This window comes from Homo sapiens, chromosome 19 (assembly GCF_000001405.40).
Source record: "Homo sapiens chromosome 19, GRCh38.p14 Primary Assembly".
Taxonomy (NCBI): domain Eukaryota; kingdom Metazoa; phylum Chordata; class Mammalia; order Primates; family Hominidae; genus Homo; species Homo sapiens.
Genome location: NC_000019.10, coordinates 23,221,078 through 23,248,829, shown reverse-complemented (window position 1 = coordinate 23,248,829; position 27,752 = coordinate 23,221,078). Strand labels below are relative to the sequence as shown.

Below are 27,752 nucleotides of genomic sequence, written 5' to 3'. Positions count from 1 at the left end.
AGAGACAGAGTTTCAGTATGTTGGCCAGGCTGGTCTCGACCTTTTGACCTCAGGTGATCCACCGGCCTCAGCCTCCCTAAGTGGTAGGATTACAGGCATGAGTCAGTGCTCCCTGCCTCAGTTTCTTATTTTCCACCTTGAACGTACAAATTTCCTGGTTGTGTAATTGGAGCTTAATTGACAGTTTATAGTCGGTTAAGCCTGAATTTTGTTTCCTCTAATGTAGTAATTTACAAAAAAAAAAAAAATGCATTTGAGTTAGATTTTTTTTCAAAGCAAGAATCCAGGGCCTAGATTTCCACCTCAGACTAATTGCCTGGCACTTAACTATTTTCACACTCCACAGAGGACTGATTTTCCCCGCATTTTTTACGTGTGTTCCAAGCAGGGTCTCCCGTGTATCCCCCAGTTCTCCTTACCTCCAGCCTAACTCTGGCTTGAAGTAAAAATACATACTAAATTTCCAGTTCTGACAATCTCGAGAACTGAAAATTTAGTACTTTACTTCAAGGAACTGTCAACTTTCTTTCCCTAATTCACATTATGAACTATTTGTCCTTTAGTGTATATTTTTCATACTGTATTTTAATTATTTACTGACAACACATTGAAAACATTTTAAAAATTTGTTTTCTGTTTTTAAATATTTTCCATGAGAAGAAAGCAAAGAGTAATCCCCTGACACTGTATTTTAAAAAATATCTGTGCCTCTTTTTCTTTTATCTTCCCTAAGCACAGAGATCATAATGCTTTGGGGGTCAGTGTTTTTTGTAAACTTTATGGGGTGATGTGTCCTCAGCTACCCTTTAGTTTTTTCCTGGTCCTGTACTATCTGAATAAACCAAGATACCCACCATGTCTATCTGCTAGAGTTAATATCAGCTCTTGGGTCATTTTCTCTTATAGAACAAGCTGAGGTATGGAGTGTAGCCTCTCAAGAAGAAGGTGAATGCCCTGGGGCTTAGAGGGATCTCCTGGTGTATTCTTCCTTTGAAAAGCTAACCCTTTGAGACATTAAGATTGTTTTTATCCAAGCCATTTTCCATTTCTTGGAGACATATTGCTGGTCAGCGATCAGACGCTGGTATTGAGGGGAAAACAGAAATAATTTCTGCCAGCTGGATTCTCCAAGATTTGTGAAAAAAAATTGTATCCCCAAAGACAGATAAAAACCTCATCTCAGTGAGCTAGTACAAGAACTTGCCAAGTAAAATGCACTTGGGGCACTCATTGGGGCGTAATGCAGTGTCTCCTGAGAAGGTGGTCATTGGACACTTAAGTGAGCAGGATGGGGTGGGAAAATCTCTCCAGGGATTGGATGGCCTGACTTGACGAATGAGTCAGACACATCTGTTTTCTAATCAGCACTGCCACTCCTTTGTTTTGTCACCTTGAAAAGATTTGTTCACTTATATTGACTCTTTTAAACTGTAAATTGTATTTTATTAGTAGAGCTTGAAAGGTGAGAAAATATTTACAAAAACATAAAATAGACAGGTTTCAAAAAATACCTACTCATATATTCCATTGTTAAAAATTCTCATTTACTTTTTTTTCCCCACTGTGAGTTTAGAAATTTTCTCAGGTACATTTTTTATTTTTTGAAATGGAGTCTCACTCATTTTGTTGCCAAGGCTGGAGTGCAGTGGCATGTTCTCAGCTCACTGCAGCCTCTGACTACCAGGTTCAAGCGATTCTCCTTCCTCAGCCTCCTGAGTAGCTGGGATTACAGGTGCACACCACCATGCCCAGCTAATTTTTGTATTTTTAGTAGACACGGGGTTTCGCCATGTTGGCCAGGCTGGTCTTGAACTCCTGACCTCAGGTGATCCGCCCACCTCGGCCTCCCAAAGTGCTGGGATTACAGGCGTGAGTCACCGTGCCCAGCCTTCTCAGGTGTGTTTTTTTGCCTGAGTGTTTTCAAACACAATTTCAAGCATTAGCTTTTAGAGAGCTATCAAGGAAAAGAATAAGGAAAATTTCTCTTCCATTTTGGCTGTAGAAAATGAATACATGTTCACAAGAAAATGTGGTAGATAATTGCTGAGTTACATAGATTGATAAAAACATCAGTTCCTCTTATTGCAGGGTAAATTTCTGAGAGTGAATATCTCTGTTCTATATCCTGTAATCTTGATGTATGAGTTTAATGCTAATTCTTTTTTTTTTTTCCCCTGAGACAGAGTCTTGCTCTGTCGCCCAGGCTGGAGTGCAATGGTGCGATCTTGGCTCACTGCAACCTCCGACTCCGGGTTTAAGCAATTCTCCTCTCTCAGCCTCCAGCGTACCTGGGATTACAGGTGCATGCCACCACGCCCAGCTAATTTTTGTATTTTTAGTAGAGACAGTGTTTCACCAGGTTGGCCAGGCTGTTCTTGAACTCCTGACCTCGTGATCTGCCCGCCTCGGCCTCCCAAAGTGCTGAGATTACAGGTGTGATCCACTGCGCCCGGCCGATGCTAAATTTTATAAGACAAAACTTGGTACCTCCTAGAGGTGTCCCCATATGACTAATTGTTTACTACATGATTTATAATGGAGATAATAAAGTATTTATTGTCTGAAAGAAAGTTTAGATTCTTTTGCTTTTCTTATTGAGGTATAAAACTTAAGCACCTTAAATTTTTTTTCTTTTATATGAGCACTGTGTTTGAGTAATTTTACTTGATTTTTCAAACACTGAGTTTCAAAACCTGAGTGAATAACTCTTACTGGAAAAGTAAAGCTTGAGCCCAGTGACTCCAAGCTAAAGGCTCATATTGATCCTGCAAAAGAAGGTTATTAAAGGCCCAGTTAGTTCTTCCTGGGGAGCCTCCCCTGCAGATTTCCTAGCCTGCTCACTCCAGCCATGGAAGAAGCCTTTTATCTGAAGAGAAGCTATAGAGCCATGGAAAGCTGAGGACCCACAGACAGATGCAGTTAAGATGGAATGGGACTGAAAGGATCTTACTGAAGATAAAGTTGTTCTTGCTTTGAGGCGTTTCTAGACTTTTAAATATAAAGTTAGATTTATATTTAAAAAATTAAGTTCCAAAGGAGTATTGGAACAGGAGGAAGTACCAATTATAAGGTCTTTAAGGATCTCAAAGGTTAGGCAGACAAGGGTGGGTTTTTTTCATATTAAGGAGCAACCAAGATGAGAAACAAGGTGGGAGGGGAATGGCAAATGAAGGGTGAAAAAATCAGATTCTAAATCAGATAATTTTTTTTTTTTTTGAGATGGAGTCTTGCTCTGCTGCCCAGGTCTGGAGTGCAGTGGCGCGATCTCTGCTCACTGCAAGCCCCGCCTCCTGGGTTCACGCCATTCTCTTGCCTCAGCCTCCTGAGTAGCTGGGACTACTGGCGCCCGCCACCACGCCTGGCTAATTTTTTGTATTTTTAATAGAGATGGGGTTTCCCCATATTAGCCAGGATGGTCTCGATCTCCTGACCTCGTGATCCACCTGCCTTGGCCTCCCAAAGTGCTGGGATTACAGGCGTGAGCCACCGCACCTGGCTAAATCAGAGAATGTTCTTAGGAGGAGCATATAATGGGGTTGTATGTTGGCTTAGACTGAGGGTAGCTCAAAAGTTCAGGAGCTGTGGGAAGGAGATAAACTTGTTTGATTAAGTAGTATTTTATTTTGACCACTGAAGACAAATTCAGCTGGGTTTTCTAAGAGAATAAGAAGAAAATGGGCAGAATCTATGTCTGGCTATGTGATAGGTAAGAAAAGAGTGCATCATCTAAGTCATAATGGGATGTGTGTTTCTTTCCATAAACTGTTTCTGGAGCACACAAAAGATGGAGAATTTTATTAATTATAGCCATTTACCAGGATTACCTACGTGCTTCATCTCTCCCCACCTCTTTTCTTTGTCTTACACATTTCTTTCATTTGACTTTTCCTGGGTTGTATCTTTTATAATAATCCGGTCAACATAACTACAGTGTTTTTCTAAGTACTGTGTATAGCACTATTAAGTTATTGAACTTGAGCAAGTTTATGGGAGTCCTGAATTTTTAAACAGTAGCTCATAATGGGCTCATAATTTAGAAGCATAAATGGGCCCATGGGGTTTGTTACTGGCAACTGTAGTAAGAACAATATTTTGAGACCAAGCCCTGAATCAGCATCTGTGCTGACTCTGGGTGGTGTCAGAATTTAAATGTTAGATAAAGAATTGGTGTTGGAGAGTTGCTTGGTGTTCAGCAAACTCTATAGATTTTGTGCCAGAATAAAAATACCATAAAAGGTCTAGCCTGGAATAAAACTGAGTGTCTGGGAATGGGAGGCTCTGCTCCTATGTACTGGCTGTCACACTGCCCATTGTTTTCTGATTCCAGGTCTTCTCTTAGAGTGAGAGAGGACTGAAAACTTAGAGGAAAGAATCTCTGATGACAGACCTTCTCTTTCCACAGTTGCCACCACAGGATTCCCACCGACTCACAATCATGCCCACTAGACACTGATGCATCCACACCCCTCTCAGGACAAGGCACCACCCTCAGGAACTTCACCACAGCATTTTTGATTTAGCATTTCTTGCAAAAATCCTTCAAAAGTGTCTACGAGTCTCCCGGCATATTCCTGTTCCCCAGACACCGAATCTGCAGCAGCAACCTGTTCTCCCCACCAACTTAGGGTTCTGGGCCACTTGTTCATAATCTCACGTGCCTGCATGGACCCAGAAATAAATAGCACAAACCAATCTTTCAGTTTACATATTGCACTTACCCCCACCCGTCGAGTTTTTTCCTTTCAACTTTTAATTTTAGTTCAGAGGTACACATGCAGGTTTATTACATAGGTAAGATTGTGTCATGAAAGTTTGATGTAGATTATTTTTTCACCAAGATACTAAGCATAGCACCAAACAGGTATTTTTTTTTTTTTATTTATTTAATTTAATTTTTTTTTTTTTTGAGATGGAGTTTCACTCTTGTTGTCCAGGCTGGAGTGCAATGGTATGATCTCGGCTCACTGCAGCCTCCGCTTCCTGGGTTCAAGTGATTCTCCTGCATCAGCCTCCCAAGTAGTTGGGATTACAGGTGCCTGCCACCATGCCCGGCTAATTTTTATATTTTTAGTAGAGACGAGGTTTCATCATGTGGACCAGGCTGGTCTCGAACTCCTGACCTCAGGTGATCTGCCCAACTCAGCCTCCAAAAGTGCTGGTATTACAGGAATGAGCCACCGCGCCCGGCCCAAACAGGTCTTTGTCCTGCCAACCTCAACTAGGCCTGTGTCTGTTTTTCCCCTCTTTGCATCCATGGGTTCTTATTATTTAGCTCTTACTTATAAATGAGATAGTGCATTTGTTTTTCTCTTTCTGCATCAGTTTACCTTTTTTTTTTTTTTTTTTTTTTTTTTGAGATGGACTCTCGCTCTGTCACTCAGGCTGGAGTGCAGTGGCGCGATCTCAGCTCACTGCAACCTCTGCCTCCCAGGTTCAAGTGATTCTCCTGCCTCAGCCTCCTGAATAGCTGGGATTACAGGCAAGCCACCACGCCTGGCTAGTTTTTGTATTTTTGGTAGAGACGGCGTTTCACCATGTTGGCCAGGCTGGTCTGGAGCTCCTGACCTCAAGGAAGCTGCCCTCCTTGCCTCCAAAAGTACTTGGATTACAGGTGTGGGCCACCATGGCTGGCCTTTCTGCATTAGTTGTCTAAGAATAATGGGCTTCAATTTCATCCATGTGACTGCAAATGAAATGATCTTGTTCCTTTTTTATGGTCATACAGTATTCCATGATATTTACATATTATATTTTCTTTCTTTCTTTCTTTCTTTTTTTTTTTTTTTTTTTGAGATGGAGTTTTGCTCTTGTTGCCCAGGCTGGAGTGCAATGGCACGATCTTGGCTCACTGCAACTTCCGCCTTCCGAGTTCAAGCTATTCTCCTGCCTCAGCCTCCCTAGTAGCTGAGATTACAGGCATGTGCCACCACACCTGGCTAATTTTGTATTTTTAGTAGAGCTGGAGTTTCATCATGTTGGTCAGGCTGGTCTCAAACTCCTGACCTCAGATGATCCACCCGCTTCAGCCTCCCAAAGTGCTGGGATTACAGGTGTGAGCCACCACGCCCGGCCTGTATTATTATTATTATTATTATTATTATTACTTTTTCTTTTTTCAGACGGAGTCTCGCTCTGTCACCCAGGCTGGAGTGCAATGGCGTGATCTTGGCTCACTGCAACCTCTGCCTTCTGGGTTCAAGTGATTCTCCTGCCTCAGCCTCCCAAGTAGCTGGGATTACAGGTACGTGCCACCAAGCCCAGCTAATTTTTGTGTTTTTAGTAGAGAGGGGGTTTCACCATGTTGGCCAGGCTGGTCTCAAACTCCTGACCTCGTGATCCACCCGACTCAGCCTCCCAAAGTGCTGGGATTACACGCCACCGTGCCCAGCTAATTTTTCTTTTAGTATTTTTTTTGTAGAAATTGGGTTTCTTTATGTTGTCCTGACTGGTCTCAAACTCCTGAGCTCAGGCAATCTGCCTGCCTCAGCCTCCCAAAGTTCTGGGATTATAGGCGTGAGTCATCATGCCTGGTCAGTATGGCCATTTTAATGATATTGATCTTCTCTGTCCATGACCATCAAATAGTTTGCATTTGTTTGTGTCATCTCTGACTTCTTTGAGCAGTGTTTTGTAATTGTTGTCGTAGAGATCTTTCACTTCCCTGGTTAGCTGTATTCCTAGATACCTTATTCTTTTTGTGGCATTTTTGAATGTGATTGTGTTTTTGATTTGGCTTTTGGCTTGTATGTTGATGTATAGAGGTGCTACTTATTTCTGCACCTTTGTTTTGTATTTTGAAACTTTGCAGAAGTTGTCAGTTTATAGAGCATTTCTGCCAAAACTAGGGTTTTCTAGATACTGAATCATGTCATCTGAAAACAGGGATAGTTTGATTTCCTCCCTTCCTGTTTGGGTGCATTTTCTTTCTTTCTCTTGCCTGATTTCTCTAGCCAGGACTTCCAATTCTCTGTTGAATAAGAGCGGTAAGAAAAGGCATCCTTATCTTGTGCCAGTTTTCAGAAGGAATGCTTCCAGCTTGTGTCCATTTAGTATGTTGGCTTTGGATTTGTCATAGATAACTCATTATTTTGAAGTATGTATCTTCAATGCTTAGTTTGTTGAGGGTTTTATGCATGAACAATGTTACATTTTATTGGAAGTTTTTTCTGCATCTATTGAGATAATTTTGTGGTTCTTTAGTTCTGTTTATGTGAATCAGATTTATTGATATTTTTGTATGTTGAACCAACCTTGCATTCCAGCGATAAAGCCTACTTGGTTATAGTAGATTAGCTTTTTGATGTGCTGCTGGATTTGGTTTGCCCATATTTTGTTGAGGATTTTTGCAGCAATGTTCATCAAGGATATTAGCCTGAGGTTTTCTTCTGGGTTGTTTTGTCTCTGCCAGGTTTTGGTATCAGAATGATGCTATTATATAATGAGCTGGGGAGAAGTCCCTTCTTAATTTTTTGTAATAGTTTTAAAAGGCATTATATCAGCTTTTCTTTTTATACTTGGTAGAATTCAGCTGTGAACCTTCTGGTCTTGGGTTTTTTTAGTTGGTAGCCTATTTACTACTAACTTAATTTTGGAGCTTGTTATTGATCTATTTAGGGCTTCAACTTGTTTGGTCTTGAGAGAATTTGTTTGTCTAGAAATTTATCCACTTCCTTTAGATTTTCTAGTTTTTGTGTACAGAGGTGTCTATAGTAAACTTCAATAGCTATTTGTATTTTTGTGGGGTCAGAGGTAATGTCTCTGTAGTCTTTTTTTTTTGTTGTTGTTGTTGTTGTTGTTGAGATGGAGTCTTGCTCTGTTGCCCAGGTTGGAGTGCACTGGCGTGATCTTGGCTCACTGCAACCTCTGCCTCCGGGGTTTAAGCAATTTTCCTACCTCAGCCTTTCAAGTAGCTGGGATTACAGGCATATGCCGCCACACCTGGCCTAATTTTTGTATTTTTAGTAGATACAGGGTTTCACCATGTTGGTCAGGCTGGTTTTGAACTCCTGACCTCAGGTGATCCACCTGCCTCGGCCTCCCAAAGTGCTGGGATTACAGGCATGAACCACTGTGCTTGGCCTCTGTTGCCATTTTTTTTTTTTTTTTTTTTTTAGGTGGAATCCACTCTGTCACCTAGGCTGGAGTGCGGTGGAATGATCTCAGATTACCGCAACCTTCGCCTTCCTGGTTTAAGCAATTATGTGCTTAAATCTGCTGTTTACAAAAGACAGACAAAACCTGGCCTGTTTTAGCATCTACCACTTTCCTTAAATGTTCAGTTCCATTATGTCACATTTAAGCATCAGTGACTCCATTTTGGTTAGGTTTGTCTGTTTGGACCTAGTGCACAAGCTCAGTCCAGAATAATGTCGTCCAATAATTTTGTTTAAAACTGTCTCCTTTTTTGGTCAGAGTGCGACCAAAACTCTGGGCCTTAGTGCCATTCTCATTTTTTGGTCAGAGTGCGACCAAAACTCTGGGCCTTAGTGCCATTCTCAGTTTTCATCCTTTTTGGGTTTTGTCCTTATCTTTTTTTTTTTTTTTTTTTGACAGAGTCTCGCTCTGTTGCCCAGGCAGCCTCCACCTCCTGCGTTCAAGTAATTGGCTTGCCTCAGCCTCCCAGGTAGGTGGGACTACAGGCATGCACCACCTCGCCTGGGTAATTTTTGTATTTTTAGTACAGAGGGGGTTTCACCATGTTGACCAGGCTGGTTGGTCTCAAACTCCTGACCTCAGGTGATCCACCTTCCTTGGCCTTCCAAAGTGCTAGGATTACAGGCATGAGTCACGGCACCTGGCCCCCTGTTGTCATTTTTAATTGTGCTTATTTGGATCTTCTTTCTTTGCTAATCTTGCTAGCGGTTTATCTTCTTAATTTTTTTCAAATATTTAACTCCTGGATTACTTGATATTTTCTATGACTTTTCATTTCTAAATCTCCTTCAGTTCAGATCTAATTTTGGTTATTTCTTGTCTTCTGCTAGCTTGGGAATTGGTTTTCTCTTGCTTTATTGATTGATTGAAACAGTCTCGCTGCGTTGCCTAGCCTGGAGTACAATGGAACAATCTTGGCTCGCTGCAACCTCTGTCTCCTGGGTTCAAGGGATTCTCCTGCCTCAGCCTCCCGAGTAGCTGAGATTACAGGCGAGTGCCCCCATGACTGGCTAATTTTTGTATTTTTAGTAGAGTTAGGTATTTAAATTGATTTCTAAGTTTTTGATGTGAGTAGTTAGTGCTATAAATTTCCTTCTTAACACTGCCTTGGCTGTGTTGTAGCGATTCTGGTTTGTGTATCTTTGTTCTTCTTATTTGTTTCAAAGAACTTATTGATTTCTGCTTAATTTTATTATTTACCCAAAAGTCATTCAGGTGAAGGTTTTTAAATTTCCATGTAATTGGATAATTTGAAGTGGTTTTCTTTGTATTGAATTATATCGTTACAAAGCTGTGGCCTAAGTGTGTGTTTGGTATGACTTTGGGAAAATTGAATTTGCTGAGGATTGTTTTATTTCTGATTGTGTGGTCAATTTTAGAGTATGTGACGTGGTGATGAGAAGAATGTATACTATGTTGATTTCAGTTGGACAGTTCTATAGATGCCAGTTAGGACTATTTGGTCAAATGTTGAGTTTAGGTCCTGATATCTTTGTTAATTTTTTTGCTTCAATGATGTAATAGTGTCTGTGGGGTGTTGTAGTCTCCCACTATTATTGTGTCAGAATCCAACTCTCTTCATAGCTCTCCGTAAGAACTTGCTTTATTCATATGCACTCATGGATTTTTTTAGAACACCTTTCTCTCTTCTGCTTTTTTCTTTAGTGTGCCCAAGGCTACTCCTTAGATGCCTGAACCTACAGTCTGCTGAAATTCAGATGTCCAAGAGATCAAGAACTTGTCCAGAGATTTAGCTGTTTTTGTTTTTTGAGATGGAGTCTCACTCTGACGCCCAGGCTGGAGTGCAGTGGCACGATCTCAGCTCACTGCAACCTCTGCCTCCTGGGTTCAAGTGATTCTTCTGCCTCAGCCTCCTGAGTAGTGGGATTACAGGTGCATGCCACCACGCCCGGCTAATTTTTTATTTTTAGTAGAGACAGGGTTTCGCCATGATGGCCAGGCTGGTCTTCTGACCTCAAGTGATCTAACCACCTCGGCCTCGTAGAGTGCAGAGATTACAGGCATGAGCTACCATGCCTGGTCGAGATTTGGCTTTTATAGGAGAAAATATAAATTAGAAATAAGAGTCTTTATTTTCTTACCTTATAAAAAGGGAGGATATTTTGTTCATCTCTCTTTATTGAAGCATTTTGCTTATATGTAGATATTCTCTGCTTTTCTGAAATATATGTAAATCATATTTACAGCTAAAGAAACCTTTTGTCATTCTTTCTGACTCAGGATTGTCTTTATCTAGGACCTCAGAACCATTGCAGTGTTTTTGCTTTGGCAAAGGTTTTTTTGTTTTTTGTTTTTTGAGGTGGAGTCTCGCTTCCAGGCTGGAGTGCATTGGCGTGATCTGGGCTCATTGCAAGCTCTGCCTCCCGGGTTCACGCCATTCTCCTGCCTCAGCCTCCCAAGCAGCTGGTACTACAGGCGCCCACCACCACATGCGGCTAATTTTTTGTATTTTTAGTAGAGATGGGGTTTCACCGTGTTAGCCAGGATGGTCTCCATCTCCTGACCTCGTGATCCGCCCACCTCGGCCTCCCAAAGTGCTGGGATTACAAGGTTTTGTTGTTGTTGTTGTTGTTGTTTTCAGTCTCTTAAAGTAGATACAGATTTGTCTAGATTAAAGCTCATTTTAAGAGCACACAAAAAGTGGAGCACAAAGATAGGATTAAACTTAGCAATACAGAATGATAAAGACTAAAAGATGCAGAGGAAGTTTCTTTGACAAAAAACTGATTATCCAGTGTAATTATCCAATATTTGCAGGCTGAAGTACTTACACTGCAAAAGAAAGAACAGTTCAGTGTATAAACTCAACAGTGGAGTCTTTGGTTATGCTTTGGTTCCTATTTACTGCTTCAAAACAATTAGCATGGTTATGTGTAGTGTTTGTAGACAACTTGCATTTGTGTGAATTATACAGTATTTTCTTTTTTTTTTTTTTTTAAGACGGGTTCTTGCTCTGTTGCCCATGCTGGAGTGCAGTGGCGTGATCTCGGCTGAGTAGCTGGGATTACGGGCATGAGCCACTGCGCCCGACCTAAATTATACGGTATTTTCTACAATATTATGAATATAAGACCACAATATTTATTTTGGATGAATGTCTTAGTCATTTTAATATTCGTCATACTTTTGAAATATAAAGTATTATAACTAAATTATGGTTACAGAAAATTTTTTAAAATTCTACATTATTACTAGTACATTAAAATTATTTATGCTTAGATATTTATATCTAATATCCAAAAAAATTCACTACAAAATTGTTACAGTAGATATTAGCCTGACATGCATATTAATTTACCCAATAGATATAGGTAAGCATGATTTCAGTATCTTTTATTTTACTAAACTCGAATACTGCTATTACAGTACAAATAAATGTGATGGGTGATGTGACCATGCAAGAAATATAATAGCTTTTAAGTTAGCTGTGTTGTAAGCTCAAATATATTTTACTATATAAACAAAGTCAGATTCTGATTCTTCATCAAAAAACGTTGGTGAAGGCTGGGTGCTGTGGCTCACCTCTGTAATCCCAGCACTTTGGGAGGCCAAGGTGGACAGATCACTTGAGGTCAGGAGTTTGAGACCAGCCTGGCTAATATGGTGAAACCCTGTCTCTACTAAAAATACAAAAATTAGCGGGGGGTGGTGGTGGGTGCCTGTAATTCTAGCTACTCAGGAGACTGAGGAAGGAGAATCGCTTAAACTTGGAAGGTGGAGATTGCAGTGAGCTAAGGTCATGCCACTGCACTCCAGCATATGTGAGAAAGCAAGACTCTGTCTCAAAAAAAAAATAAAAATAAAAAGGAGCTGTTGGAAATTGTCAGATGTATTCCAATATAAATCCTCCATTTAATGGCTAGGAGACGAGAGAGCAACAGAGATAAAAGAGAAACTTTATAAAATTTTGCTGAGAATATGTCCCCTTTCTTCATAATGCTCATGCTTCTCATGCTGAGAGTAGCTGTGCAGTTTGGGTGTTTAGAGAGACGTTTATTTTAGGGGAACATTTTCTGGCCAACATGATCAATCTTATATCTAATCTGAGTGTTTTTTTAAGATGTTCTTCTTTTTTACTGAGTATAATTTTACTAAGATGAAGAGCGATTTTTCTCTCCAATGCTTTGGGTGTCTGTTTCAGAAGCTCTATTACTATCCCATGGTGTCATGAATGAGTTGGGCTGTCACAGGGAGAACTCTTAGAGGTATCTCTATGCGGACTGATGCTGAAAATCCAGCAGTATTTTTTTCATGTCACTATTATAAATAGAAACTGAAGCTGAAACACTGCTCCCATTCCCATTATCGTGAAGGTGCAATTTCAGCCAGGAGGGCTGGCTCAGGCTTCATTACCTGATGTGGGACTGGAGTGCTGCTCTGGCAGTTGGGGTTCGTGTAAGATGTGAGCTGCCAGCTGTGAGCCCTGTGGTAGGAGTCAAGAAAGGACACTGGCTATCAGGAAAGGGCAAGCAGAGTATAGTGCTCAGGGAGTACAGAGCCATTGATTGCTTAAAATGTAAATAGCCAAAAAGATAACTCCCTAAGTTGCAAAATTACCTCCTGTCATGAGGATGTGAAAAGTTAATTTTGTCATTGATTATAACCAATTAGCATACATGGATCACCTCCCCCATTACCAGGTGAATTTAGGATGAACCATGTATTACATGGTGCTATAAATTCTTTTACTTGTGGACTAATTATGGGAGTGTCTTTTTGTCTTTGCAATCTCTTAAGAAGATTGACTGTGATGCATGTCACATTCTGGTTTAATTGTGTAATGAAACAGTTTACTTTCTGTTCTATCATTTTGGAGTTTCTCTAGGGCTGGAGAAATTTTTTCTTTTAATTATATTTTCCAAACACTGTCTAGAATTACTAGAGGTGATATGAACACATATGGTTCCAGCCAAACTTTACTCTAGAGGGGCCTTTTCCTCTCAGGCTTCCAGTCACTTCAGATTTCTACAAACTTCACAGGGTAGCAATCAGCTATTTTACTTCTTATTTCGGTCTGGCCCCACCTTGAAGTCTGGCCTCACAGAACTGATTGGAAGTTTTGACTAGTGAGTCTGTTAAATTTTTAGAGCTGGTGCTCACAATTTTCTGAAACCCAAAAGCAGATAAAATTGGAAAAATAAAGTATGTATTTTAGCATCTTAATTTTTAAATTTTCTATTAAACCAGTGCTTGCAGGGACATTTAGCAACTTGTTTTCTATTCTGCAGATCCAGTAGTTGCTCCACAAGTCACAAACAAGTAAATATGAACACAATAAAAATTTCTTTAAACTACATTAAATTCTTCCTTTCTGTATCCCTGTCATCTGTCTATATTTAGTGTTCTATACATTTTTTAAAAAAACCAAGGACAGAGAAACAGAAGATGAAATAAAAATGCTAAGCCTTAATCTAAATCCTGGGAATTATTAAACAGCTGTGCTGACTCCCAGTTTGTTATGAGAATTAAATCACATAATGTGTTATTCCAAGCACAGTGCTCTGTAACATACTCTTGAGCACATAGTACCTGCTTTATAAACATTTCAATAGTACATGTTGTTTTCGAAGTGCAGACTTATTCAGGCATTGCTACTTTCTGTTGCCTCTGTAAACTTTAAAGAACCAGCAAAGAATATGATACTTAAAGATGGAGATTTGTTGTCTTCATTTGTGCCGGAAGTATTTGTGTTGTGACAAGAGTGCTGAGTGTAAGGGACTCTGTACTGTGCCTGCTTCTCTAACCAATTCTAATGATGAGCCTAGAAGAAGCAACATCAGCATTGACAGGGGACTTATTTAAAACGCACATTCATGAACCCTTTGAAAACCTGCAGAATCAAAATACATAGGGAAGGTCCAAAGTTACCAAGTGATTTATAAGCTTATTAAATATTACAAGGCAGCTGGGCGTGGTGGCTTATGCCTGTAATCCCAGCACTTTGGGAGACCGAGGTGGGTGGATCACCTGATGTCAGGAGTTCCAGAGCAGCCTGTCCAACATGGTAAAATCCCGTCTCTACTAAAAGTACAAAAATTAGCTGGGCATGGTGGCAGATGCCTGTAATCTCAGCTACTTGGGAGGCTGAGGCTGGAGAATCTCTTTAACCCAGGAGGTGGAGGTTGTGGTGAGCAGAGATTGTGCCATTGCACTCCAGCCTGGATGACAAGAGCAAAACACCGTCTAAAAAAAAAAAAAATTGCAAGGCAATGCTTAGCTAAATGGTTATCAGCTGGACTTCTATTAGGTTGGTGGAAAAGTTAATTGACGTTTTTGCCATTCTAAGTAACTTGGATTACTTAGGTGTAGGCACTCAAATTACATGGCTAATTATTAGAAATCCCTTTACTTGTGCCTTCTTCACAGGTTCTGTTTATTGTTTTGTGTGGACACATTTATGTTGTTTTAATTAAGTGCCTCATGTGACTCTAAGGTAAGGCCAGAATCAACTATGAGGGGTTCAAGATACATTCATGAGAGTTAAGTTTTACTTTTCCACTGAAGGATGGTCACAGGGCCTGTTCTGTTTGGGTTTGGTAAAGACAGGGCAGCGTGGCCCATATTTCCATTATTGTAGCAGAAATTGCTGGTGTCTTTGGTGGGGAGGGTACCTAAGGACAGGAAAGGAGAAACTTCTATTTTTCTCTTCATTGTTTCTGAATCTTTTCTGAAGATTCACCCAGAAATGGGTGGACTTTTTCTGAGGGTCTTGGTCCTTCTGCCTGTGGGTGTGGTCGTAGCATGTAAACAGGTGGCATTTTCTCAAGATGCAGGTGTAATTTGTCCAGAAAATCTCATCTGAAAATAAATCCAAGAGAAGGAGGAGATAGAGGAAAAAGTGGCATTTTTTTTTTTTTCAGCTAAACATGTCTCGGATCAAGAGCTGTATCCGCCCTGCCTCCGGAATGCTGTGTGTTTAGTACTTGCAAACCTTGACTTCTATACTTGTGTTTTTTTCTCCCTAATGAGTTTGTTTTAACTACTTTTTAAAATTCTTATGATAATCAAGAAAAATATTTCTTTCCTATATACCAGAGCCTTCTCTAAATTTTTTACATTTTGGCTTTTTATATGCCTTGCAAAATTATCACCATTAATTTATGATCTGCAGTATTAAAAGTGTTCTTTTTGTGGCTGTTGAACTTAGAAAAGTGTGGATACTCAAGATTACTATTGGGGAAAAGCTGGGATCCTTAGTAAAGATGGAGAACATGTAATGTTGAAGTTCCATTTGTGTTTGCTATTAGCCCTATGCAGAACCGAATTAAGAAAATGCTTATTTAAACAGGATGGCATTTATTACTCAGAAAGTTCTGAAAAAAATTATCAGGAGATACCTGTTCTCTAGGGTGCTAAAGAAAGACTACTTAAAATCACTATTAAAAATTACAGAACATAGAAGATACAGGTATCTTGAATAGAAGATTCCTGTATCTTAAGATATCCTGTATCAAGATAGAAGATACCTGTATCTTGAACTTTGCATAAAACTGATGTTTCCATATGGTTGAATTTAGACTATAATTTACTTATTGGGAACAATATTCCAGCAGTGATGCTGTGTGTCCTTCTGTGTGTTTTAGCACACCGTAAAAATTTGTCCTAGTGCAGTTGAGGCTAATGATTCACTTGGTTAAAGAGCTGTCTGACAGATTTTTTCACTATACAGTTAATTATTTTTTCTTCATTATTAAGTATCTTTGTGCAGCTGATTTGTATAAATTATCAAATGTAATCTGACAGCTGCTCTTCTTTCTTAGGGTTTCTTTGCATATATCTGTTTTTGGAAAATGAAGGCTGTCATCTCTCTCTTATAGGCCATAAAAACTGGGGGGAAAAACAGGTTATTTCACTTGTTGGATGTTTGATAAAATATTTTTCTTTGGGGCAAAATCATTGGCATTACTTGTGAGCTTATTAAAAATTCAGCAACTCAGACTTTATTCCAGATCTTCTGCAAAAAAAAAAAAAGCATAACAAGATTTCCAGTTTATTGTACACATTAAAATTTGAGATGTACCTTGTAACTCGACATGTCTTTCATCTCAACAGAACTCATTCTTTATAGTGTGAATATAGCACTCCAGAATGTACATGCCTGTGTTCATGTCCTTAATTTTATATTTTATTATCCAGAAAAGTATCATATATAAATTGATGTTGTGGATCTTATTCTAGTCTTTTCTCAGAGTTAGAGAGTACATCAGAGAATATTTCTGTCTTTAAAATTACTTCATTTGGATAATTTCATTCACTTTTATAAGTCAGAATGAGTACTCCTTAGTCTTTCATTTCAACTTGAATCAAATTAAAAATTTTGCCCATGGCCACTTCGTAAATATGTGTGTGTGTACTTTTCAGGGACCATTGACATTTATGGATGTGGCCATAGAATTCTCTGTGGAGGAGTGGCAATGCCTGGACACTGCACAGCAGAATTTATATAGGAACGTGATGTTAGAGAACTACAGAAACCTGGTCTTCCTGGGTGAGAATAACTTCAATACACAATTCCTAATCTACCCTAAATATTTCGTTTGTTTTTTTGTAGGATGTTTTTTGGTAATTGATCTTTGCATAAATGAGTATCAGATCTCTATTTCTAAGAAAATCTTGGGGGCCAAGCGTGGTGGCTTATGCCTGTAATCCTAGCACTTTGGGTGGCCAAGGCGGGTGGATCACCTGAGGTCAGGAGTTCAAGACCAGCCTGGCCAACATGGTGAAACCCCACCTCTACTTAAAAAAATAAAAAAATTAGCCAGGTGTAGTGGTGCACGCCTGTAGTCCCAGCTACTTGGGAGGCTGAGGCAGGAGAATCACTTGAACCCGGGAGATGGAGGTTGCAGTGAGCCGAGATCGTACCACTGTACTCCAGCCTGGGTGGCAGAGTGAGACTCCATCTCAAAAAAAAAGGGAGAGAAAGAAAATCTTGGGGATTTGTCAATGTAGAAAAAAAAAAATTCAAGATGTTTCATTGTGATCTGGACTTTTTATATTCCTGAGCTGATCTGTATCCTTCACTCTAAATTAGTGGTAATTCCAGAAATTTAGTGGCATAAAATATTGTTTTCTATACCTTAAAATCTAATTGTCATCTCCAGTTTTTGATTCAGTACTACTAAGTAGTAAAATTAAGGACCTACAAATTTAAAATAGTGTCTAAATATTTAGAAATTTGTTTTAAATTTGTATTTTGTAATTAATTTAGTATTCTATTAATTACACCCTTTTTACTGAGCACATTATTTAAAGAATATGAGCAACATTCATGTTATTTATTTTTAATAAAACAGGTATTGCTGTCTCTAAGCCAGACCTGATCACCTGTCTGGAGCAAGGCAAAGAGCCCTGGAATATGGAGAGACATGAGATGGTGGCCAAACCCCCAGGTAGGTGAGAGTGAATATGACAGATGACACAGATGAGAGGTCCAAATGTCAAGGAGAAAGTCAGTTTTTGAAATACGATTTGGGGCCAGGTGTGGTGGCTCATGCCTGTAATCCCAGCACTTGGAGAGGCTAAGGCGGGCAGATGACCTAAGGTCGGGTGTTCGAGACCAGCCTGACCAACATGGAGAAACCCCGTCTTTACTAAAAATACAAAATTAGCTGGGTGTGGTGGCGCATGCCTGTAGTCCCAGCTACTTGGGAGGCTGAGGCAGGAGAATCGCTTGAACCTGGGAGGCAGAGGTTGTGGTGAGCTGAGATCGCGCCATTGCACTGCAGCCTGGGCAACAAGAGCGAAACTCCGTCTCAGATAAATAAATAAATAAACGAATAAAAATAAGAAATACAATTTGGGAGTTGTGCTCCAAGGAAAATAGTTTCTGGGAAAATAAAATAGTTTATTTTATTTTTTCTCTTACATAGGGGTATCTTTTGTCTTATCCTTCTAACTTTTCTAAGGAATATACTTTCCCTTCCGTTATCTTTCTTCAAGTTTTCAGTGAGAACCAAAGTCCCCTTTTTGGCATATACAAGACTACAAAATCTGCTTTTTTAATGTTTTGGTGGACACATAAATATCTGTGAAATTTTAAGAAACTCTGTGTTAAACTATTAAGTTTTCTTTCTACATCATGTCTGAAATATGTGAGAGTAGTGGTTTCTGTTTCATTTTTTTTGTTCATTTTTTCTGCACATTCCTTCCTGTTTTTATACTATAGTCTTGAAATATAGTTTGAAATTATAAAGTACGTTGTCCTCATCCTTTGTTCTTTTTCCTCAAGATTGCTTTCATTATTCAGAGTTTATTGAAGTTTCAAGTAAATTTTATGATTGTGTTTTTCATTACTATGAAAACAAATACCACTGGAATTTTGATAGGGAGTTTATTAAATCTGTAGATCACTTTGGATAATATGGCACTTTAACAATATTTATTCTTTCAATCCATACACACAAAATATTTTAAAATTTGTGTCTTTTCTAATTTCCTCCATTGATACATCATTTATTGTAAAGGCTTTTTAGATCCTTGGTTAAATTTGTTCTAAGAAATTTATTATTTTAATGCTATTATCAATAAGATTGTTTTCCTCCTTTATTTTATCAGATAGTTTAAGTTTATGGAACCGTATCTTATAAATGTATGTTAATTTTATATTTTGCTAATTTACTGAGTATATTAATTAGTTTAGACCTGTTTAAATGTACTGTGTATGATTTTTTATATATGAGATTATATGATCTACAAACAGCAACTTTTTACCTATTTGTCTTCAATTTTAATGGCTTTTTAAAAGTTGTTCTAATTATTCTGCTACATACTTCCAGTGCTATTTTAAAATAGAAGCATTGACACTGGGCACAATATAGTTTTGCACTGGTGTCTGTGAATTTCAAGAAACAAACACCTCTTCAAGTTTTTATAAACTGGTTACAGGAGGTAAAAGATCTTTTGTTGGGCACCCAGGATAATGGGATGCCCTATGGGTTTGTAATGAAGAGGGGTTGTAGGTTGCTCACAAGGCTGCTATGTCTGCACAAGGGTTTACCTTTAGTTGCCTTGTTACAAGGGGATTGTGTAGTTGTAATTTGCATTTTATTTTTGGACAGGCTGAATATCCTTCAGGACTTTGATCTGTAGGGCAGACACTAGGCAGGTTTCTGTAGTCAGGTCTGCATATGGTGAGCCTTACATCAGGATGTGAATGAGTATGGCTTTCACTTAGTATCAAAGAGGATTTTGCCAGGTCACTGTGTAGGTTTCTGTGTAGGCAGAACTGGCCTTGAACTGAGTCATGGAACTGCTTCAGGGACCACAGTAAAGGCTAAGGTCTTGCAAACCTGCCTGCATGGCTATAAATGGGTGTCTTCCTCCAGGCCTCTGGAAGGGCAGGACCTCTCCCAGACTGTGACTGGGAGGAGTTTGAGATGGTTACGGGGTAAGTTCAGTATTCTCAGTGGGACCAAGTTGGGTAGGCTATTTTTCAGTCTGTAGCCAAGAACAGAGGTCCTGTAGTTTACCACCTGAATGAATGCCTGCCTTCTGAAAAGGATGCTCCTCAGTCTTGGGCATTATCAGAGTTTCACAACTCCCTCCCTGGATCTCAAAGCTCTCTCTCTCAATCTCTCTTTTTTTTTTTCTTTTGAGACGGAGTCTCACTCTGTTCCTCAGACTGGAGTGCAGTGGCACCATCTCAACTCACTGTAACCTCCGCCTCCCAGGTTCAGGTGATCCTCCTACCTCAGCCCCCCAGTAGCTGGGATTATAAGCACGCGCCACCATGCCCGGAAAATTTTTTTTTTTTTTTTTGGAAGTGGGGCTTGGAGTCTCGCTCTGTCGCCCAGGCTGGAGTGCAGTGGCTCAATCGCAGCTCACTGCAACGTCCTCCTCCCAGGTTCAAGCGATTCTCCTGCCTCAGCCTCCCAAGCAGCTGGTACATGCTACCACACCTGGCTAATTTTTGTATTTTTAGTAGAGACGGGGTTTCACGATGTTGGCCAGCTGGTCTCAAACTCCTGACCTCAGGTGATCCTCCCGCCTTAGCCTCCCAAAGTGCTGGGATTACAGGTGTGAGCCATCGTGCCCGGCCATGCCTGGATAATTTTTGTATTTTTAGTAGAGACAGGGTTTCGCCATGTTGGCCAGGCTGGTCTCGAATTCCTTGACCTCAGATGATCGACACCCGCCTCAGTCCCCCAAAGTGCTGAGATTACAGGCATAAGCCACTGCGCCCAGCCTTTTTTTTTTTTTTTGAGACGAAGTCTCATCTCTGTCACCCAGGCTGGAGTGCAGTGGCCCGATCTTGGCTCACTGCAACCTCTGCCTCCCGGCTGGGTTCGATCAATTCTGCTGTCTCAGCCTCCCGAGTAGCTGGGATTACAGGCATGCGCCACCACGCCTGGCTAATTTTTGTATTTTTAGTAGGGAAAGTGTTTCACCATGTTGGCCAGGCTGGTCTCGAACTCCTGACCTCAGGTGACCCACCTGTCTCAGCCTCCCAAAGTGCTGGAATTACAGGCGTGAGCCACCACACTCGGCCTTTAAAGCTCTCTTAAAGGCACTTATTTTGGAGATGAGGACTTGCTATATACCCCAAGCTGGTCTTGAAATTTTGGCCTGAAGAAATTCTCCAACCTCAGTGTACCATATAGCTGTCATTACAGGTGTGAGACATGATGCTTGGCTCTCTCATAAAGGCATTTTTGTCAGGAATTCCTGACAAATTTTCTTGCTGTCGGGTTAAGAAAATAGGTCACCTTTTATTTTTCCGTCAAACTAATGTCACTCTATTCATTTTTCTATTTTCTATTTCAAATTTGTCTGTAATTTTAGATTGACACATATGTCAGAATTAATTTTAGATTGACACATATGTCAGAATTTAAATGTTATGCCTGAAGTAAATTAGATACTTAGTAGGCACTCCATATTTACTAAAATAGTTACTTATACATTTGTTTGCTGCAGGCAAATAGGAATTACAGGATTTGCACCCACTTTCTTCAGACTATATCTAAATAAAAACATAATTTATTCCCAAATATTTGTTTTATATATCAGAGGCTTTAATTATATTCTGCAAAAATATATTTATTTCTTTTTAATTTAGCAATATAATTTAACTTGTTTTTTTTTGTTTTTTTTTTTTTTTGAGATGGAGCCTCACTCTGTTGCCCAGGCTGGAGTGCAATGGCATGATCTCGGCTCACTGCAACCTCCACCTCCTGGGTTCAAGTGATTCTTCTGCCTCAGCCTCCCAAGTAGCTGGGATTACAGACATGCACCACCACGCCTGGCTAGTTTTTTGTATTTTTAGTAGAGATGGGGTTTCATCATGTTGGCCAGGCTGGTCTCGAACTCCTGACCTCAAGTGATCCACCTGCCTTGGCCTCCCAAAGTGCTGGGATTACAGGCGTGAGCCACCACGCCTGGCCTGCTTCTAAATTTGAATTACAGCAGTTTCATTTTGTATAAGAATAACATACATTTAAAACATGAAAACTACCTCTAGTTTTTATAATGCTTATTTATTAAAAGTTTCTCATTAGAGTCTTCTATTTATGGTTATACTGCATTTTCTCTGAAATTTTAACTACCATATAGTTAATGCCAGTGATTCATAATACCTGCCTTCCATGAGTACACAGTTACAGTCAAATATTGTAGTTATCTAGACAAATTCTTTTTTAATGGTCCATTAATGTTGCTTACCAGAGTTTGAGTAAACATTTCCCTTATTATTTTGCAGTTCTTTATGTGTTTTTTTTAGTGTTGGTTTCTTAAAATGAATCTATTGTGTTTTTGGTTTTACTTACATATTAAAATTTTAGACAATTTGTAACTCTGTACACTTTAAGTCAACATAGGGCTTAATTAAGAAATAAATGAGCTATATGTCTATCACAATCAGATTATATATGTGTGTGTTTTTTATTTATAAATATGACCCTAATTATGGTTATGGCCTATCTTGTATATATTTTTTCTTAGCTGTTTTCAGTGGTTGTTTTGTCTTATATAAGTGAGTAGTTGTGAAAATAATCTTATTTCTACACTGTGTTTAATAATGAATGTACATTTCCTTTGTGTTCCTTTCAGATCACTTTTGTTATTTGAAGTTAATTTTTGAAAAGATTCATAATTCTTTACTTTTTTCGGTTCTTCTTCTACAAAATTGTTGTAAAAACAGATGACATAAAATTTACCATCTTAAATCTATTTAAGTGTACATATTAGGACTATGCATGGTGGTGGCTCACATCTGTAATTCCAGGATTTTGAGAGGCCAAGACAAGAGAATCACTTTAGCCCAAAAGTTTGAGACAAGCCTGGCCCACCCGTAAAGACCCTCTCTCGGGCTGGGCGTGGTGGCTCACGCCTGTAATCCCAGCACTTTGGGAGGCCGAGGTGGGCAGATCACGAGGTCAGGAGGTCGAGACCATTGTGGCTAACACAGTGAAACCTTGTCTCTACTAAAAATACAAAAAACTAGCCTGGCATGGTGGAGGGCGCCTGTAGTCCCAGCTTTTTGGGAGGCTGAGGCAGGAGAATGGCGTGAACCCAGGAGGTAGAGCTTGCAGTGAGCCGAGATTCAGCCACTGCACTCCAGCCTGGGGGACAGAGCGAGACTCCATCTCAAAAAAAAAAAAAAAAAAAGACCCTCTCTCTAGAAAATTTTTTTCAAAAATAACCAGGCATGGGGTGGGGTGCGCCTGTGGTCCTAGCAGCTTGGGGAATTGAAGGGGTAGGATTACTTGAGGCTGGGAGTTTGAGGCTACAGTAAGCCATAATCTTGCCACTGTATTTCAGCTTGGGTGACAGTATATTCACCTGGTTATGCAAAACACTTCTAGAAATTTTTCATCTGTAAAATGAAAACTCAATATCCATTAAGTAACAACTGCCCATTTTCCCCTCTCCTCAGCCCTTGACAAACACTCTTCTACTTTGTTTTTATGAGTGTGACTCTTTATAACATATCTCATATAAGTGGAATCATATAGTATGCATCATTCTGTTACTGTCTTATTTTAGGTGATAAAATATTCTCAAAGTTTATCTTAGAATTTTACAAGTGGTTTTTGTTTGTTTTTTGTTTTTTGAGACGGAGTCTTGCTTTGTTGCCCAGGCTGGAGTGCAATGGTGCTATCTCGGCTCATTGGAACCTCCGCCTCCCAGGTTCAGGCAATTCTGCCACCTCAGCCTCCTGAGTAGTGGGGAATACAGGCACCCACCATCATGCCCGGATAAATTTTTTTGTATCCTATAGAAATGGGGTTTCACCATGTTGCCCGGGCTGGTCTGGAACTCCTGACCTCAGGTGATCCACCCGCTTCTGCCTCCCAAAGTGCTAGGATTACAAATGTGAGCCACTATGCACGGCCACGATTTTTTTAAGGCTGAATAAAATTCCATTGTATGTATATGTCACATTTTTTGATACGTTTATGAATCAAAAGACATCTGGGTTACTTCAGCCTTTTGGCTTTTGTGAATGCTGGTACAATAAAGATAGATGTTTACATATCTCTTCTAGGTCCTGTGTTGCATACTTTGGATATAGATTAATAAATGGGATTGCTGTATTTAATTATAATTCTATTTTTAATTATGTGTGAAACATAACATTTTAAAATAATGGCTGCATCCTTGGTTTCCATCAACAATCAACATAAGTTTCATTTTCATAGCATTGTCAACAGATTTGGTGGGGTTTTTTTTTTGTTGTTGTTGTTTGTTTGTTTTTTTGTTTGAGACGGAGTCTTGCTCTGTTGCCCAGGCTGGAGTGCAGTGGTGTGATCTCGGCTCACTGCAACATCTGCCTCCCAGGTTCAAGCGATTCTCCTGCCTTAGCCTCCCAAGTAGCTGGGACTACAGGTGCCCACCACCACACCTGGCTAATTTTTGTGTTTTTAGTAGAGACGGGGTTTCGCCATATTGGCCGGGGTGGTTCCAAACTCCTGACCTCAGGTGATCGGCCCACCCGGCACGCCAAAGTGTTGGGATTACAGGCCTGAGCCACCCTGCCTGGCTGGGTGTTCACTTCTAAAGGCACTATATTATATTGGGGAGAGGGATGAGCTGTGTTAGGTAAATATAACAGACTTTTCTCTTTTTCTTTGTGGCTCTTTGCATTGTACTCACCTCCTGGGGCACTGTACACACTTAACTCATTTATAAATTTTTCACAAATGTATTTTGGTCTGTGTATTTTTCTTATATTTATATGTCTATAAGGAAATTAGGGTCTTTGGTATTTTGTTATGCAGTTTTTTGTTTGTTTGTTTGTTTTTTGAGTCAAAGTCTTGCTCTGTTCTCCAGCGTGGAGTGCCTTGGTGTGATATCAGCTCACTGCAACTTCTGCCGCTCAGGTTCAAGCGATTCTTCTGCCTCAGCCTCCTGAGTAGCTGGGATTACAGGTGCATGCTATCATGCCCGGCTAATTTTTTTGTATTTTTTAGTAAAGATGGGTCTCACCAGTTGGCCAGACTGGTCTCAAACTCCTGACTTCAGGTGATCTGCCCATCTCAGCCTTTCAACGTGCTGGGAGTACAGGCATTAGCTACCATGCCTGGCCTTCTTATGCAATCTTGTTTATGTAGTTTGTATAGTTTTGTAGGTTAGATGTGTAAAGAATATGTATCTGAGTCTAGTATGTGGAGTAAGTTGTTATTTTTATTTCTTTCAGGTATGTGTTGTTATTTTGCCCAAGACCTTCGGCCAGAGCAGAGCATAAAAGCTTCTTTGCAAAGAATAATACTGAGAAAATATGAAAAATGTGGACATCACAATTTACAGTTAAAAAAAGGCTATAAAAGTGTGGATGAGTACAAGGTGCACAAAGGAAGTTATAATGGATTTAACCAGTGTTTGACAACTACCCAGAGCAAAATATTTCAGTGTGATAAATATGTGAAAGACTTTCATAAATTTTCAAATTCAAATAGACATAAGACTGAAAAGAATCCTTTCAAATGTAAAGAATGTGGCAAGTCATTTTGTGTTCTTTCACACCTAACTCAACATAAAAGAATTCACACTACTGTCAATTCCTACAAACTTGAAGAATGTGGCAAGGCCTTTAATGTGTCCTCAACCCTTTCTCAACATAAGAGAATTCATACAGGACAAAAACACTACAAATGTGAAGAATGTGGCATAGCCTTTAACAAGTCCTCACACCTTAACACACATAAGATAATTCATACTGGAGAGAAATCCTACAAACGTGAAGAATGTGGAAAAGCTTTTAACATATCCTCACACCTTACTACACATAAGATAATTCATACTGGAGAGAATGCCTACAAATGTAAAGAATGTGGCAAAGCTTTTAACCAATCATCAACCCTTACTAGACATAAGATAATTCATGCTGGAGAGAAGCCCTACATATGTGAACATTGTGGCAGAGCTTTTAACCAATCCTCGAACCTTACTAAACATAAGAGAATTCATACTGGTGATAAACCTTATAAATGTGAAGAATGTGGCAAAGCCTTTAATGTGTCCTCAACCCTTACTCAACATAAGAGAATTCATACTGGAGAGAAACCTTACAAATGTGAAGAGTGTGGCAAAGCCTTTAACGTGTCCTCAACTCTTACTCAACATAAGAGAATTCATACTGGAGAAAAACCATACAAATGTGAAGAATGTGGCAAAGCCTTTAACACATCCTCACACCTCACCACACATAAAAGAATTCATACCGGAGAGAAACCCTACAAATGTGAAGAATGTGGCAAAGCCTTTAACCAGTTCTCACAACTTACTACACATAAGATAATTCATACTGGAGAGAAACCCTACAAATGTAAAGAATGTGGCAAAGCTTTTAAGCGGTCCTCAAACCTTACTGAACATAGGATAATTCATACTGGAGAGAAACCCTACAAATGTGAAGAATGTGGCAAAGCTTTTAACCTATCCTCACACCTTACAACACATAAGAAAATTCATACTGGAGAGAAACCCTACAAATGTAAAGAATGTGGCAAAGCTTTTAACCAATCCTCGACACTTGCTAGACATAAGATAATTCATGCTGGAGAGAAACCCTACAAATGTGAAGAATGTGGCAAAGCTTTTTACCAATACTCAAACCTTACTCAACATAAGATAATTCATACTGGAGAGAAACCCTACAAATGTGAAGAATGTGGCAAAGCCTTTAATTGGTCCTCAACTCTGACTAAACATAAGGTAATTCATACTGGAGAGAAACCCTACAAATGTAAAGAATGTGGCAAAGCTTTTAACCAATGCTCAAACCTTACTACACACAAGAAAATTCATGCTGTAGAAAAATCTGACAAATAAGAAAAATGGACCAGGCGTGGTGGCTCACACCTGTAATCCCAGCACTTTGGGAGGCCAAGGCGGGTGGATCACAAGATCAAGAGATTGAGACCATCCTGGCCAACGAAGAGAATTACTGGAGAGAAACCGTACAAACCTGAAAGATATAACAGTGCAGTTGACAACACCTCAATATTTCTAAACACCTTTAAATGGTTGTCATACTTGATTGTAGGTAAAATATAGTAGAGGAAACCTCTACAAGTGTGAAGAATGTGGCAAAACTTTTAACCAATGCTGACACTTTATTGGACAGGAAATGATGTATACTTGAGAAAAATTATGCAAATGTAAAGAATGTGAAGAAGCCATTAATATCTGTTCACATCTTATTCAATATCAGAGAGTTCATACTTAATAGAAGCATTAAAGATGAAATTACTGTCAATAGATTTTTCAGAAAATATAAGCCTTTAAAGTGAAGAAGAGTATTTATTTTGAAGACAAGCATTAAAATATCAAGAGTGTAAGCTGGGCATGGTGGCTCAGGCCTGTAATTTCAGCACTTTGGAGGCCAAGGCAGGTGGTTTACTTGAGGTCAGAAGTTCAAGACCAGCCTGGCCAACATGGTGAAACTCCATCTCTACCCAAAATACAAAAATTAGGTGGGTGTGGTAGTGCATGACTAATCCCAGCTACTCGGTGGTTGAGACAGGAGAATCGCTTGAACCTGGGAGGCAGAGGTTGCAGTGAGCTGAGTTTGTGCCACCACACTCCAGCCTGGGCACTCCAGCTGCACTCCATCTCAAAGAAAAAAAAAAACTAATATGAAGAGTGTTGTGGTACCATTACTTGTATTACAGATCTTATTTTACACATTTTGTTCTAGAGGAAAACCCTGAAGTAGTTGCTCCAGCTTTCTTCAACATCAGATAATTTATCTTGAAGAAAATCTCTGCAAAGGTAGTAAATTTGGAAAAACATTTTTTTACAAACTACAGCCTAGGAAACACCAGAGAGTTCATACTAAAATATGTTTTTGCAGATGCAGTAATATAAAAAATTATTTGAAAAAATTAAGTCTGTAAATGTCAATTCAGAGTAGGTATATCTAAGGAACTGACACTTCAGACAGTACACTAAATCAGAGGGCTGAGTTTAGAAAATAATTGAGAACTGAAGTTTGTACATAAATATTTTGTATATAACTTTAAAAAGTGTATAAGATATTTTGGAGAGTTATTACATTCAAATTACATTTTTTTTTTTTTTTGAGATGGAGTCTTGTTCCCATCGTGCAGGATGGAGTGCAGTGGTGCTATCTCGGC

At 39.5% G+C, this 27,752-nt stretch overlaps 1 protein-coding gene and 1 pseudogene across 4 annotated transcripts in view, besides 1 other annotated feature; one reads left to right on the top strand and one right to left on the bottom strand.

Moving 5' to 3' along the window:
- The window catches only part of ZNF724 (zinc finger protein 724), a 28,796-nt gene extending 1,565 nt beyond the window's left edge, over nucleotides 1-27,231 (top strand). Inside the window, exons 2-5 of one of the 4 annotated variants that reach the window (NM_001355406.2) lie at nucleotides 6,120-6,241; nucleotides 16,537-16,663; nucleotides 17,469-17,564; nucleotides 24,812-27,231. In NM_001355406.2, the coding sequence (NP_001342335.1) occupies nucleotides 16,552-16,663; nucleotides 17,469-17,564; nucleotides 24,812-26,445 (1,842 nt within the window). In that variant the 5' untranslated portion in view covers nucleotides 6,120-6,241; nucleotides 16,537-16,551 and the 3' untranslated portion in view covers nucleotides 26,446-27,231. The remainder of the gene's footprint in view (nucleotides 1-6,119; nucleotides 6,242-16,536; nucleotides 16,664-17,468; nucleotides 17,565-24,811) is intronic. The other 3 variants (NM_001355404.2, NM_001355405.2, XM_024451520.2) reach the window with 3 other exon arrangements.
- Nucleotides 7,156-7,356: a silencer, noted in NCBI's record as "peak3415 fragment used in MPRA reporter construct". NCBI's record gives its function as "represses an SCP1 promoter by STARR-seq MPRAs in K562 erythroleukemia cells {active_cell/tissue: K562}" and the evidence as "EXISTENCE:reporter gene assay evidence [ECO:0000049][PMID:32103011]".
- On the bottom strand, nucleotides 11,979-12,512 carry BNIP3P38 (BCL2 interacting protein 3 pseudogene 38; annotated as a pseudogene).
- Nucleotides 27,232-27,752: the final 521 nt, after the last annotated feature.